Here is a 15688-nt window from a genome sequence, read left to right as displayed (position 1 = left end):
GTATATTCAGTTTTTAATTAATTAGGGGAAATTTAATTAATTGGGGAAAGTGTCTCAAGCATTCTCTTTAGAAAATATTCCTAAAGAGCTGTATTTAGAAGCAAAAGAAGAGGATAATATGTGTTTTATTTACTTGATGTAACATTAAATTGCAATGGCAGATGAGCTGCTTTTTGTCATAAATTTATGGGCTGGGCTAAACTTGCAACTGGCCTTGGTGACTGTATTTCCTTTCATTTGTATCTTCAAGAGCTAAAATGTAAGGCTTTATCAATTTATGAATAAAGTGATGATAAATTCTTGTAGCTCACTGCTTAATGGCAGTCATAAGCCTACTTCTCTCTTTTCCACAGCTTTCTAACCCAGGGAACCACGGATCCCTATGGACCCATGACTATAGCATTTTGTGGATCAGATTTTTAAGTGGGCCAGGCATTCAAATAAATTAACAGATACTTAGGAACATGTGAAGTTATTATTTAGGTTACATACCTTATTCAAAAATTTATCCAAATTATTGTTTAGATTAAAAAATTTTTCATAGACACAACTGAGTAATATTAAGCTGGTGCAAAAGTAATTGCAGTCTTTGCCATTAAAAGTACTTTCTCTTTACTTTTTTTTTTTTTTTTTTTGAGACAGAGTCTCTCTCTGTTATACAGGCTGGAGTGCAGTGGCACAATCTCAGCTCATTGCAACCTCTGCCTCGCAGGTTCAAGCGATTCTCCTGCCTCAGCCTCCTGAGTAGCTGGGATTCCAGGCGTGCACCACCACACCCAGCTAATTTTTGTATTTTTAGTAGAGACAGGTTTTCACTATGTTGGCCAAGCTGGTCTCGAACTCCCAACCTCAGGTGATTCGCCTGCCTCGGCCTCCCAAAGTGCTGGGATTATAGGTTTGAGCCACTGTGCCCAGCCTTTCTTTACTTTTAATGGCAAATACCACAATTACTTTTGCACCTAGTAATTGGCTTCTGTTATTTATTAGTATTGCTCAGAGGAAACCAATAAAAGAGGAATCTAATGGATTTATTAAAATTGTTCATTTGAATTTCCAATTGATATATTTAATACTGCTTTCTAAAAACAGTCTTCAGTAGAGTTTCACATATTGTCTGAACACTATGTTTTTCTAAAATGAGCTTTTAAAAAAAATCTATAATACTTCTCCCCTATGCTAAGTTCATAGCATTTTGAATTTGAAGTCTGCATTTCCTTTGGCTCTATTTCTGATTTTCCAGGCCCCAGTGTCTGAAGAGAGGGTGTAGGCTTTCACTGAGGCTCCTAAACCAGAGGCAGAGAAGTGTGCTCTGTTGCGTAGAATCATTTTCCCTTGGACAAGAGTGGGGCTCCAGTGCTGTGAGCTTCACTCTCAGGCATGGAGTGAGGAGGCCCATAGTTCATGGGGCCATAACTTTTTGACCAAGCCAGAGGAGTGGACTGAGGCCAACTGCCAAGCTGGCCTTGGGGGCAGACTCTTAAACTGGCTTTCAACTCCTAACACAAGCACTGGGAGGAAAATGCTCAGGGCTCTGCCAGCAGATTAGCTGGGCATGGAAATCCCACTGTATCTAAACATGGCATATTCTAACCAGAGTCAGTGCAGAGGAAAATTATCTCATGCCAGCTCTTAGAACAGAGAGCCTTTGTTTTCTGTGAAAGTACATTTCTCTGTAAAAGCTTTTTTTTTTTTTTTTATCAAGGGGACCATTTATAGTCCTCCCGAATGTAAGATCTAATGAATGGACATGCCACACAGTGTCAGTGTCTAGTTGTAAGGAGAACTATTTTTTAAAACCCTCTAATAAATGCATTATTTATTAAGCATGCTTCAGTACCTTTCTTTAAAAATTTTTCAAAATACAATTTATGATTTAAATAAGCATGATTAAGTTTTGTGGCCTAAGCTCCAGACCATTTTGTGTAAGCAGGAGGAGAAAGGAAGAACTGGTGCTGCTGGCTTAGTCATGAGAAGAGACACCATGGAGTCCCAAAGAACATAGAGCCCCTTTTGTTGTACTTCTCACTGGATCACCACCTCTAGGAAAGCCAGCTTTGCTGACATGAGTGGGGGGCATGGAGGAAGGCAAGTGTATCACTGAACTTTTTAAGTAGCACACACCCTCGCCAAAATCTCAACATAATAAACATCAGATCTTTAAAGTTTTAGTAAGATACTTCTACATACATGTAGGTAAGAAGAGTGACTATCCCAGGCTTTTAGAAGTGGAATGCCATCACAGACCCTGAGGCTCACAGGGAAGGGTGTGATATGCTCACCGTAACAGTGTTATCTTCAATCACATATATCTCAGGGTTATAGGTGTTGATTTCTGCAGCTGCCGTTAGCTGTACTGTCTGGAACGTTGACTGGAACATAAGAATAAGGAATATGTTTTATCGTAGCAGCAGCAAATGCAGAGAAGCTGGCATGCTTATGATTTATGTATTTATTTCCTGGTGGAATGTGACAAGAGCAAATGGTTCTGAAGACCCATCCAGAATCTGTGTGTGCTTAAACCAGTGCTGTGTAACAGGACTGCCCGTCAGAAATACCTCGGGTAATTTTAATACATGTCTGTCTGCACCTTGCCACCACAAATCAACTCTCTGGGGTGGGATCCAGACATGAGTAGGTTAAAATATCTCCCTGAGGAGATCTGAACTTGAGAACTGGGTTGAAAAGTGAGGATTTAAAAATGAATATTTCTAACTGGGAAGATCACAGTTCAGATTTTTTAAAAAATAAGTTTGTGACATGAGAGAAAATTGTAAACTTGGCATCTTTGTATACTTACCTGAATAAGTCACACAATGGAATGGAAAACCAACATTTAAAAGGTAAGAGAACTTTCCTTCTGGGTACATGTGTGTAAAATGATAGTGTTTAAAAGTGCACTTGAACTTGACCACCCATGGCCCTGAACCTTTCAGCTTGTTATATCACATCAGTATAACTTCAGATTTCCTATCTAAGTGTTTCTATCAAATAATACTTAATTTGGGGCAGGTATATAGGAAGGATATTTTATGCTGATGTCACTGGTAACTTACTAATTCGAAATAACTTTACATTCATTCCTCCATCTAGTTACAGAAAAAGAGCCTAGTTTTCAGCAGGGCACAGTGGCTTCTATCTGTAATCCCAGCGCTTTGGGAGGCTGAGGTGGGTAGATTACTTGAGGTCAGGAGTTCAAGACCAGCCTGGTCAATATGGCAAAACCCTGACTCTACTAAAAAATATAAAAAATTAGCCGGGCATGGTGGTGGGCACCTGTAATCCCAGCGACTCGGCTGAGGCAGGAGAATCACTTGAACCCAGGAGGCACAGGTTGCAGTGAGCTGAGATCAAGCCACTGCACTCCAGCCTGGGCAACAGAGCAAGGCTCTGTCTGGGGGAAAAAAAAAAGTCTATTTTTTCAATAGAAACATTATTGATGTGTATATTTCACTATTTTCTCTACATTAGGTCTGATGCTACTGTGAAGCGGAATGCAGCGCTTAGATGTTAGAGCTGCTTTCACATGCTGTGGCTACTAGGACTCAGTTTTTCTGGTTACTAGGGCACATTATTGGACATACTCTGTGAGGTAATTTGCTAAACAATATCTGGGAGCCAGAAAGAATGTATTTCCAAAAACTGAGCAATTTATTTCCTTTCCACTGGCTCAGTCTCTGGTTACTGTTAATTTTCTCAATATAGATGATTGGATCAGAAATTAACCATGCTCACCAGTCTCTTAAACATATTATTGGGGGAAACATTAAGAGTATTGATAATGGTTTAAGTTTAAGAAAAAAAGCAGCAGTTAAGTAAATGCTGGTTTCATAATCCCCAAAGACTAAAGATGAAAGAATTTTTCTTATAGCATTCTCAAAATAGGCCCTTCTCACAGGCATACAATATCCTGCAGGGTTAACAAGTAGAGGTAAGCATGCCACACACATCTGGAGAGTGAAGTAACGCACCTGCTAGCGTTCAACAAGGCTTCTCCCTACAAATGGCAGCAACTCTATCATCAATTTGGAGCCCTGATCAATCACTTTGTAATGAAATTACTTGAAATGTTAAGTTGCCTTGCACTACATCAGAGAAAGGGTAGCAACAAAAGGCAGTGCATTAATGGGTTCAAATACAGGAAATGAGATCCATATTTCAGACTGGATCTCCTAAGTGGTCTGAGAAACATCCACTTTGCTGCTTAAATTGCTGGAAGCAAGGTGAGGATAAACATTTGACTTTTCATGAAGGAGGAAGATATGTAGGACTTGACACAATCCTTGTATGTCACTTGACATACCTTGACATCTCAAGGGTGTTTTCTTAGTTTAACCACCATAGCCACATTAAAGCAGCATAAATACTACACTTTCTAGGAAGTTTACTCCCAGAAATAAACTGCTTCTGAAGATCGTTGGGAAGGTACTTTAAAAAGTTTCACAGTTAAAGTGATGTAGTCTTAAACTCAAGAAAATCCAAATGTGTTTTACAGAGCTGGCATGTGTGCATTTTGATGTGCAACAGTCAGTGTTCCTTCCAGTTGGCAAAATTTGCTATGAAAACATTTGTTCCTCAAATCCAAGGAGCCAAGAACCAATGGAGCAAAACTGAGCACCACACTGCAGCAGCTGGGAAGGTGATAACAACTAACGGCACGCTTCACGTCTTAAAGGACCTAGAATTGTCCTGAAGACTTGAAAGCAAATGCAACTAACAAGAAAACAAAGTAAAAGCAAGCAAGCAAGCCAGAAGAAATATTCAACTCCTCACTTCCCCATTCCCCCAATTCTGCATTTTGTTCTAACTTTTACTATTCCGTTTTCTTCTATGTCTTTGTCCAAGAATATTGCTTATATTTGACTCCAGGGATGAGTTTGGAGGGTGCTGAGTTCTCCAGTTTTACAAAACTCTATAGCAGGAAGTGGATTTATTGGAGAGATCATGAAATGATAAACAGAAAAAAAAATGAGTAGCGTTTGGTTGTAAGCACCTTGGGAACTGATTTATTTGTTAAAAAGAAAAAAAAAATCTAGTAAGAGCTACAAAGATCCCCAGGAGGTTTCAGACTAATTTCTGTTTTTCTTCCTCAATTGGAGCCCATGTCAGTAAAAGGAATGCTAGCCACACAAGCAGTCCAGTTTAAGGAGGCCTGTCTATCCTTATATTTTTTCATGCCAGACTGAAATTCTAGCTACCAAAATCCCTGCTGAAAGCAAATATAACTAGAGCAGACTCACAGTTGCCATATGGAAAAAAACAATGACATTGTTTTGGCTTTTTCTTCAAACTTTCATGGGGATTGAGATGATTTAGAAAGTCATGTGCCCACTGGGCTCTCCCAACAGGAAAAGGGTAAAACAGGAGAGCAGGGTGATGACCTGGCTGTAATATAGGAAGACATATCTTTATGCTAGATTCATCTACTAGGTGGTTTGAGATCAATCATACAATTAACTGAGAGCTCAAGGAGTGAGACAGAGACACAGACATTTTGATTTGGGTGTGGCACAGGAGACTGGGAAGATGGAGAGTGGAGGAACCCCTAGAGGGGGACAAAGCAGGCTGCCCCTTGTAGCCCAGGGCCGCAGAGATGACCCTGACACCATTCCCATTGATGTGGTAGGTCGCATGGAGTCTGAGAAACAGACCCTTTCACAAGTATCCCAGATGACTCTGAGGCACTGCTAAATTGGATGGGCATTGGAAAGCGATGGAAGTGTGCTGCCTTTCAGGGTAAAATGCTCTGGGTTATTTGGCCATTGCAGACATTAGCCAGAATACTTATTTTGTCAAAGGGGAAGAACTTGTCAGTGCAGACTTATGTTTCCTTGCTATTGATAAATCTAACAAATAAAACTGATACTTACTGATGCGAAAGTCCCGTTCCAAATTCTGGTAGTCACATTAACAAAGTATTCTCCTTTCATGTGAACGTCTTTCAACCAGCAGGTAACATTACTACAGGAAGCAGTTCTGCAGTTCTTATAGTATTGAGTCAAAGGTAAAAGAGAGAGCAAGTTAGTAAGAGTTAAAAAATAAATGCTAAAATTTTAAAGCTAGATAAAACTCAGTGCTGGGACACACCTAGGGAAACAGGCAATCTCATGAGCTATTAGTAGTTCTAACTCTCCCGCCCTCCTTCAAGGGATTGTGGGACTATATCTCAAAATGTACCAAGTGCACACTCTTTACCCCATCCATTTCCTGTCTGTATAGATAGCCTCAGGAGATAATCAGCAATATGTGGAACAAAGTACCCCAAGCCTGTTTATTGCACTACTATTTCTAAGAGTAAAAAAACCTAAAAACCAACCCCCCCCAAAACTGTAACTTGTTTAGCAACAATGTACTAGTTAAATAAATTAGTAAACATGCACAAAATGTACTACAATTTGTCATTAAACCTAATTATAGACTCCCTAGGTTTTTAAACAAGTTGACAGAAAAAGGATCAGTGGTTCCAAGGGCTAGTGGGGCGGGCAGGATGAATAAGCAGAGCACATATGATGTGTAGGGCAGTGAATATACACTGTATGATACTATAGTGGTGGATACATGTCATTTTACATTTGTCAAATTCCACAGCGTGGATTTTAACAACACCAAGAGTGAACCCTAATGTAAACTATGGATTTTGGTTGATAATGATATAGTAATGTAGTTTCATCGATTGTGGCAAATATACCACTCTTGTGCGGGATTTTGATAGTGGGGGAGGCTGTGTGGGACAGGGGGTATATGGGAACTTCTGTACTTTCCACTCAATTCTTCCATGAATGTAAAACTGCATTAAAAAATGAAGTCATTAATTGAAAATCTATGACACATTGGCCTATGTTCAAGGCCAAAAGGTAGCGTGGCCCACTTCAGTTACAGCATGCATTTACCTACTTGTAGATTAATACACATTAAAAGAAATAATTTTATTCTTCTGGTTTCCTGTTTTCCCCATCCTTCACAAAATAAAACAACTGCAATTAAAGAAAACCAGGAGAATTCCAATATTGTTCATAGGGGAGAGCTGAGGTTTGTTTAGGAGTTATTGCTTACTAAAGGTTTACTTTATTTGAATATTTAATATGTGCCGAGCACCATGCCAGATGCTAGACTAGTCTCTTTCCCAAAGAAGCAGGCATAGCTTGAGAACAGGAAATAACAAAATATTGAAAAACAGAGAAGTGCAGCAGCATATTTCACAGCTAAATAAAAAACATCAGTATTATGTGGAAGGGGGATTTAAGGGGCTTCTCCTCTGTAGCACACAGCTAGTTCCTTCACAGCTCTTTGCCTTGTTTCCAAAGTGCACAACGCATAAACACAATAGCTTCACATGAGTTTTTCTGATGTCATAAAGTCTGGAACTTATATTTTGTAAGAAGTGGCATAAGATAATTCCAGTAACCTAGATTTGACCACATATTAGGTTGGTGCAAACGTAAATTGTGGGTTTCAAAATCGTATTTACTTTTGCACCAACCTAATATTTTCTAAATCTTGACTCATATAAGCATCAAAGGCAAAATAAGAAAGCTCTATGATATCAGCTGGTAGGAGAAAAGCAGCGTCCTGATCACAGGTGAAATAAATGAATGAGGGGAGCTTTCACACGTTAACTTGTCCTCACCAATTCTTTGGTGTGCCTGAAATTTTCACTTTTGAAAGATACAGAAGAAGATGTTTGTCCTATTTTCAGTGGATTGATATCTGCATTACAACTGATGTCACCAGCCTATAAAAGAAGAACACCCGATCAGACTTCAGAAGCAAAACAGTTTATGATGTTCCTTTCAACATGTTAGGAAATCCTACTGTCACTTGTAGGGGTCTGGGAAGGGCTGTTAGGCTTCTTTCAACGCCACTGACCTGGCCACACTTCATATAATCTCTAGGTGAACATCAAGTATTTAAATGCTCCTGATGTGAACTGATGAGGTGGGCTAGGTTTTTATAGCCCACATATGATGAGGCAAATCTGCAATAGCTAAACACTGTGAATAATTCAGGGTAATTTTCTCTGGAACATTTTAGGATTTTGATTTTTCTGTAGCCTCCTATGCACACTACAGAAATAATACAACTGTTGAATAATACAACTGTTGGACTGAAGATGAGCCAATGTCAAGAGGTTTGGCTAGAGCAGCGCTTCTCAGCCCAGGTTGCGTGTTAGAACCATGGTGTGGATGGAGTGGGGGTGGTTAAAGAAAAACTCTGGTGTAAGAATCTTACCCCTAGAGCTTCTGATTTAATTGCCTGGGTTAGGTCTGGGCACTGTTATTTAAAAGAGCGAACAGAGGGATTAAAATGAACAGCCAGGGTTGAGTATTACCAGGCGAAAGTCCAGGCTGGCTGCTTGAAGACCAGCTCCTTATCACAGCTGTGAAGACCTGCTATGCTCCCCATATAGGTCCAGCCCCTTACCTCCCAGCCTTCACAGGGCCTGTCAAAGTCAGATCTTCACCAGGCCAAAATGGGGTTTTTGGAATAATTTCTGCCACCTGCAATTCCCTAGACTCAGCCATTTGTTTTCTTGTAACAATATTTTTTCTAATATGAAATTAACTGCTAGTCAGTTGGCACCCAGGCTGCATAGGAGTTACCATCTGTTTCCCATCTGTAAAATGTCAGACATGATCACCCTAATCTCATGGGTTATTTACATCTTGAAAGTACACATTTTTAGGCAATTTTTTAATCTTTACCTTGTCTGTTTGCACCCCAGTTAGGTACATCAGTGGGTTCTTTTCTTTGGTATACTGAGGGATGTGGATGATTACAGTTGCCATGCTTACTGGAACACTTCCTGTTGTTACCTATGTAGAGAATAAAATGTGCCAGTACTGCAACAGGATGTACATGATGCAAGGAAATTCACCAGTAACCCCGTGTTGATGAAGGGCAACTACGAGGTGGTAAGACTGAGTCCAAATGAAAGTCAGCCATTACTTTATAGTCACACTTCAGGTCTCTGTGTCTCACCTCTTAAAACGCATTTATGCCTGAGGTTGCAATTTTTTTGAAATTTCGATCATACCTTGGCAATGACCTTGAGCAGTAGGATATAAGTAACTCCCACATGCTTAGTGCGCCAATAATGGAACACTGGGCATAAATGGCTCAATGGAAAAAAACTCAACATCTACAATGTTAATGGGTAAGTAATTTGTGACTTTGTGAGACATGTGGTATAAATGGTTAAAAATGCCATCTGTGGAGCTGGGCTGCCGGAGTGTTGTGTCCCAGTCTGCTGCTGATTAGCAGTGTGGCTTGGGCAAGGAACTTGACCTCTCTATGCTTTTCTTATTTGTAAAATAAAGATGATCAGAAATTCAGTATGTATGTGCTGGCACAGGGCACTGGTACAGCATCTGTTCTCATGGGTGGGGGTTTCTGTTCTAATTGGCCAGGGCTCATACACTACTGGTTATTTAAATATTTTAAATAACATCCCTGGGAATAATAATACCAAGCTCATAACCGATCTGGGAACTAAATGGGATAACATATGTAAAGCACTTGATACCATGGCTGGTGTATACTTATTACACACTCTATGAATGTTATTACCGCGAATTGAATAGATGCCCCATTAAAGAATGTAGTTGCCAAATACCATCCACATTTTATAAATTCTATTGTAGTATCTAGATCATAAAGATTCTTCTAAAGATTTTTTTTATCACAAAATTGCAGAGTTGCAACCATGTAACAAACAAGTGAGAAATGAACAAAAATAAAATGGTATTGGCTTAGGATAGTGGATAAATTCTTTTTACTTTCCAAAGTTTCTTTAACTTTAATTACAATATAAAATAGTTATTCTTTCACAAATTAATTTATCTTTAACTGGTAGTAATCTTTAGATTAATAATCGCTTACTAATAGTAAATAGAATTTGGTTCAAAAATATTTTTAGATACTACCTAGTATTACTGTACAGATTTGTATACAAATGGTAAACTCAAACAGAAGTGGTCTCTGAGGATAAATTGGCATAATAATTATATGCCAAAGACTTTTACCCACAGCAATACCTTCCTTTATAGTAATGCTCTGTTGGTTAATGTTGAACATTTGCCTTCAAAATATATCAAGTATCCCTTACCCAAGACACATAACTATGCACAAAGCCCAGTTGTTTACTTAACTATGATCTAGCCTATTGGTTATCAAAGTATGGCACCTGGACCAGCAGCATAAGCATCACCTGGGAGCTTGTTAGATATGCAAATGTGTAGGCCCACCCTAGACCTACTGAATCAGAAACGCTGGAGATAAAGCCCAGCATCTGTGGTTTCACAATTCCTCCAGGTGATTGTAATGCACACCCAAGTTTGAGAACCACGGATCTCTTTCAATTTCTTTTTACTTTCTCCTTTTATTTCCAGACTCATTTTTTTTCTTCTCACTTTCTCCTGGATTTGCCATCCTTATGACAGGCTTACCAACCTTCAGGGAGAAGATGAATTTTGGACCAACATCTTCAAAACTGTGCACGATTGAAGGAACATTCCCATCCGAAGAGATTTCATAAAAATTTATGTTGGTAGATCTGTTGGATGATGTTTGTAAAGCCAAATATTTTAGTTTGCTTTTGTTCTTGAAGGTTAATATTTCTTTTATTTAAGTATCTTATAGCTTAGGTTAAAGTAAATTTTACTTTTAGTTACAAAAGCACCAAATAAAAAGAAATGCTTGCCTATGGGCTTATCGTCCAATGTATGTTTCTAAGACTAACATAAATTCCTTTGAAAACATATTTCTTTGTGGATTTTCTGCTAAGAGTTTGTGCATTACATGTCTACCAATTCTCAAGTTTCTAAATAAGTACAAAAGTATTACTTTAGAATTGATAGTAGAAGTCTTCCCAAGATTACTGTTATATTGACTAGTATGTTAACATAGTAGACAATCAGTACTTGTTAGTTGAATGAATGGATTTATAAGCCAGGGGTTTTCACTTTGGTGTGGCTAAAATATAATAATAGGGTATTGAGCTCCTTCAGTGTTCATTATTGGATGCCTGTATTATTCGTTCTTCCTATCCTTCTTTAGTTGCAAACCAATTTGAATGGTTTGGGTCTGAATGAGGTTGGTCAAATCTGTTTCCACCATTAGTGTAGAGACCACCTTTAAGATGGATGATCCAGAGGTTTTAGTATTCTGGACCTAAAGCCACTGGATTGATCTTAACTTCTTTGCTTAAGATTGCCAACTAAGTTCTGCAAGCAAAGTGATGATGAGATCAGAGAAACCCTCATAGGACCACTCAGACTAGAATGAAACTGGGGACCTCCCCTCTCCTCACTCATTTCTGGGGCTCTGAGGTGGGATTCCAACCAGGGTAGCTTCTTTGCGTGGGGGATTAGGGGATGAGCAGTGAGGGTAGGGGTCTGAGAACACTGTGCATATCCTTTCCATTTATTCCCACTGGACAATTTACGTTAATTATAGAATGTTGATTCTATTTCTTAAAAACTTGGGGTGGATATTTTCTGAAGTAGAATTTTTTGGGTTTCTTTACTAAAACCTTGTCTTTCCCTCTTTTATGCCTTAATGATTTTTTCCATATCCTTAAAAGGAAAATATGTCACAGGGAGACTTGAGTGGATGTATTTGTCAAGGTTATATATGAGAGGAAACAATGATTTGTCAGCCTGACATGGAAAATGGGAAAACTGACTAGGATTTGAAACAGAAAGCTTGGATGTGTGTGCATGAATTATTTCCTATGCCTTCCAGAAGATCTTTGTGTGAGATCCTAAATGGGGCCAATTTCTAAATTAATATGGTCTGCATTTGCATTTTAAAGAGATCTGACACTTTTCCATTTGTTACTTAAGTGTTGATCAATATATTTATAATAGTAAATATCTATACTCAGGGGGATCCTGCTTCAGAAATAATACTATTATCGCTATTTCTACCCATCATTTTTTTTACAATATAACTGTACAGTTATACAGTATCAAAGTTGTTGCTAAGAAATACACTAAGTTATTGTGTAGGATTTTTTCCAAAAGTTTGCAAAGATGTTTGTTATTTTTTTTGCAGCATTGCTTATGATGGTTAAACAAAACAAAATAAAAATGCAAAACAACCAAATGTCTTGTTAATATTGAATTGGTTACATAAATTATGATCCAGCCAGGACTGGAATAAGTTAGATCTGTATGTCCTCATATGAAAACTTTTCTAAGATTATGTAAAATGCAAGGTACAGAAGAGTGTTTTATCATTCCTTTTGGGTAATAAAATGTGCACATGTGTGTGTATATATATGTGTATGTGTGTGTTACATGCATATATCCTGGTAGATAAGCAACCCTGTATCTGGAAGATATTCTGAAAACAGTCTCTTATGGGGAGTGGCACTAGGGAAGGTGGGGAGGGATGACTTCTCACTGTCTACCTTTCTCCAATGTTTGGGTTTTCTAGGTAGTAGGACTAGGACCCATTTTAACTTTTGTTCTTTATAATTCCCTACGTTAATTTTTTTGAGGATATATTTTAAAGAACATTAGAATACATTTGAATTCAAGTTGCCATTACAAAAATACCTGCCTAAGATGATAATTAGTAAAAGTAAAGTCTCATTTCAATCTTATATTTATTTCATTCTTAAATATCTGGGAAAATATTGGCCATTGTAGGAGAGTAGAATAATAAAAAGACTGTATTGACAAAAAATATTTAGAAGAAAGGATCAAATATAAGAAGGAAAAAATTCAGGTAATGTGGTAACATCAATTTGGGTTGGTTGCATTTGTTTCCAATTTCTTATTTTAGCAAGTGGGGATCCTTTGAAGTCTGCAGTTACTGATGACTTTTTCAGAGATGTATTATTTGGACGGAATTTTGTTTCTGCTTGTGCTATTTGCAACTCACTTGATACAGAAGCATTCTTTTCATCTTTGCTGTTTGGCTCAAGCTCTAGACATGATGACATATTTTCCTTTTTGTTTTTGCTCAGAGAGCTATTGGATGATCTACAGATTCCATGCTCTTAGGGGCTGGAGTGATGTGGTAGAAGTTAGACAAACCTGCTGTCACTGGATTTCTTGGGAAAGTGCTGCAGTGTGCTATTCAGGGGTCATTGATCTGTGCTGGGAAGCTGTCCTATTGCTTCACCAGGTAGAGAACTCTGGTTCCCAGGCCTGTAGGAGGGCATCACCTGTGCCCAGTGCATCTGCACAACTGTGTTCCAGTTTGTCTGTGCCATGAACTCACCTTACTTCTAAGTGTGAGTTAAAGTGATATCGACCTATTAGAACCTGTGGAATTTGTGTGTTACCCACTTACCAAGACACCTGTCCCTCTGAACAATTAAAGACAGCCTGTATCAACCAGTGACATTTACACCACTGCTCTCAGGTTTGCTTGCTTTGGGCAGGTAAAAACAGGGAACAAAGCATTTCTTTATGGATAACATCCTTTGGAAAAAACCTCATTTCCACCTGGCTGGAAGAAAACCCTAATCTGATATGTGAGGAATTTTTCCCTCAGAAACTAGACTTGATCTAGTTCCAATATTTGAATATTCAAACAGTGACTAGATTCAATATTTATTGTGGACCTACTCTGTGCAAAACATTGTGCTTGGGGCTTCAATGTCCAGGAATGGGGATACTGCTTGAGATCTCACATACAATGGGAAGTAGGCAGTGAGAAGAAAGTGAAGACAACTCTCAGGACCTTTGAGAGTTCTGTTTCAACATTTTGAGAATGTTTGCAGCTACTCAGAGGGCCTGCAATGTGGAGTGTGCCTGTGATGTGTGGCTACGGGGATCTTTCTCTGCCTTTCTGGGCTACTCTCATTGGTTTAATAAGCCTAACGAGTCACTCAAGGTTTTCCTAGGGACCAATATGTCTGTGGACTCCTGTTTTAGTTGACAAGAATTTTAATTCAAATTCTTCAGTTAAGAATGAGCATACAGAGGACTTCTTTAGCCATGAGCCAAAAATCTTCTGATCTAGAGTTGGTGTCAGTGATAGCAGGTTACCCACTGCTTCACCTACCTTGTTAAGTGAATTTCAGCATCATACAGGAGAGGAATTTTGAGGTTGACCAAATTATCAGCCTTGTTTTCTTCTTGGCTTTCACTATAGAAAGAAACATTAGGAAATTACTTAAAGAGAAATACAAAGCTATCCATCATTCCATTCATGACTTCATTATGTTTTACCTTAAGGCTTGGAAACTGAGAGACGCCTGATTCTGAAGGTTTTGAAGATTGAAGTCAAAGTTAATAGTAAAAGTCACCTAAAGACAAAATTAAAATTTCTCAGTCTATGATGCTTCATACTCAGAGGCCAACGTGAAAAAAAAAATGTTTCTCATAAAAGTAAACTCACTCAAATTTGATTCTGAATTTTATATACCTTAAGCTTTCAAATTTGTGGAATATCTTTATTTGTCCACCTTGTTTTACTATGCCTCACATTAGAATTAGAGAAGCTTGACTTCCAAGTGACACATGTAAGTTATCCAGGCGTATATACCTGTCTGAATTTGGAAGCTTTGAGCTGATGTGAAACTTGTTACTAGGGGTTAATAAATGATCTCTGTGACTCTGTGTATAGTGCTTTGACCAATGTTGCTCAACATATTTAGACAAAAAGAACTTTCCATAGTATGTGTACCTTTTGGAATGAATTGCATGGAGAAAATCCCATTTTTATTAATAATTTAAAGAAAACATTTAGATATTGAAAACTTCCCCTAAGTATGCAGCTAGTTATTTTGTGATGCCTATCAAATCATGATAGCAAGATGTTATGTTGGTAAATTAGCATATGTGCTAAGGAGGGCTTGTATGGATTGGAGGATGAAATGCAAGTTGTACCTGTTGTTCTCTCTTTAAAGCAGGGTAGCCTACATCGCAGGCAACAGACTTCTGAGATGCAGCCACCTGGCATGTTACTTCTGTCCCATCAACCTGAACAAGACCAAGGAAACAACAATGATCAATTGGCATACAACATTTGTGTGTGTATGCACGCACCTGGTAAAAGAGGTACAGTGGCATTTTAGCAGTAAGGTTGGTTCATACTGAAATAATTTATTATACCTCAAGACTTGAAATTTTATACTGCCCAGGTGGCTAATATACTACTTTTATTGCTAACCCTAAAGATACCTAGAACATCCAACAAAACAAAGAAAAGATTAAATACTGTATTTTTTCCCCAGAAAAAAATGATAGTTTTTATTTTCAGATGCACGAATAGCTTTAATTCAATATTTTGAAATGCTGGCTTTAGGAATATGTTCTTCTCAATTTATTTGAAGCATTTTCAAGAGAAGAAAGTAAAATCATATGTTGGTGTTTGTCTGTATTTTAAGTAATTTGAGGGTTTTTTTTTTTTTTTTTTTTTTAGTTTTCTTCAGGTTTTTTTTTCCCTTTAAAGGAAGTAGTTGCCACTTGGCACAGGGTGTTTAAACACCAAGGTCAGGTTAGGTTTAGAACTCTAAGCCTATTAAGATCACATTAACTCTAAATTAAATGAAATCATTGTTTAATCCTTTAATCAGATAGCTCATTTGGAAAATCTCAGCTTTTCCTTCTCTCCCTTTTTTCTTCATAATTTGGTGGTAGAGGAGGGACCAGGGAGCACTCACAGTCAAGTGTGCTCCTGGTATAATGATCAAGTCAATGTGATTAGTTGGCTTTGCTGGCGTGCATCATCT

At 38.2% G+C, this 15688-nt stretch overlaps 1 protein-coding gene across 6 annotated transcripts in view; it reads right to left on the bottom strand.

Moving 5' to 3' along the window:
• ITGA2 (integrin subunit alpha 2) overlaps nt 1-15688 on the bottom strand; it is a 105428-nt gene that overhangs the window by 5459 nt on the left and 84281 nt on the right. For 4 of the 6 annotated variants that reach the window (NR_073105.2, NR_073104.2, NR_073107.2 and 1 more), the window contains 8 exons: nt 14844-14936; nt 14184-14260; nt 14017-14100; nt 10447-10549; nt 8700-8810; nt 7625-7729; nt 5868-5981; nt 2280-2369 (listed from right to left, as the gene is read on the bottom strand). Coding sequence is in view for 1 of the 6 variants with exons in the window: in NM_002203.4 (NP_002194.2) it covers nt 2280-2369; nt 5868-5981; nt 7625-7729; nt 8700-8810; nt 10447-10549; nt 14017-14100; nt 14184-14260; nt 14844-14936 (777 nt within the window). In the remaining 5 variants the exon portion in view is untranslated. The remainder of the gene's footprint in view (nt 1-2279; nt 2370-5867; nt 5982-7624; nt 7730-8699; nt 8811-10446; nt 10550-14016; nt 14101-14183; nt 14261-14843; nt 14937-15688) is intronic. The other 2 variants (NR_073106.2, NR_073103.2) reach the window with 2 other exon arrangements.

The sequence above is a fragment of the Homo sapiens genome, chromosome 5 (genome assembly GCF_000001405.40).
Source record: "Homo sapiens chromosome 5, GRCh38.p14 Primary Assembly".
Taxonomy (NCBI): domain Eukaryota; kingdom Metazoa; phylum Chordata; class Mammalia; order Primates; family Hominidae; genus Homo; species Homo sapiens.
Note: the sequence above shows the minus strand (reverse complement) of the source record. Positions and strands in the feature narration are given on the sequence as shown.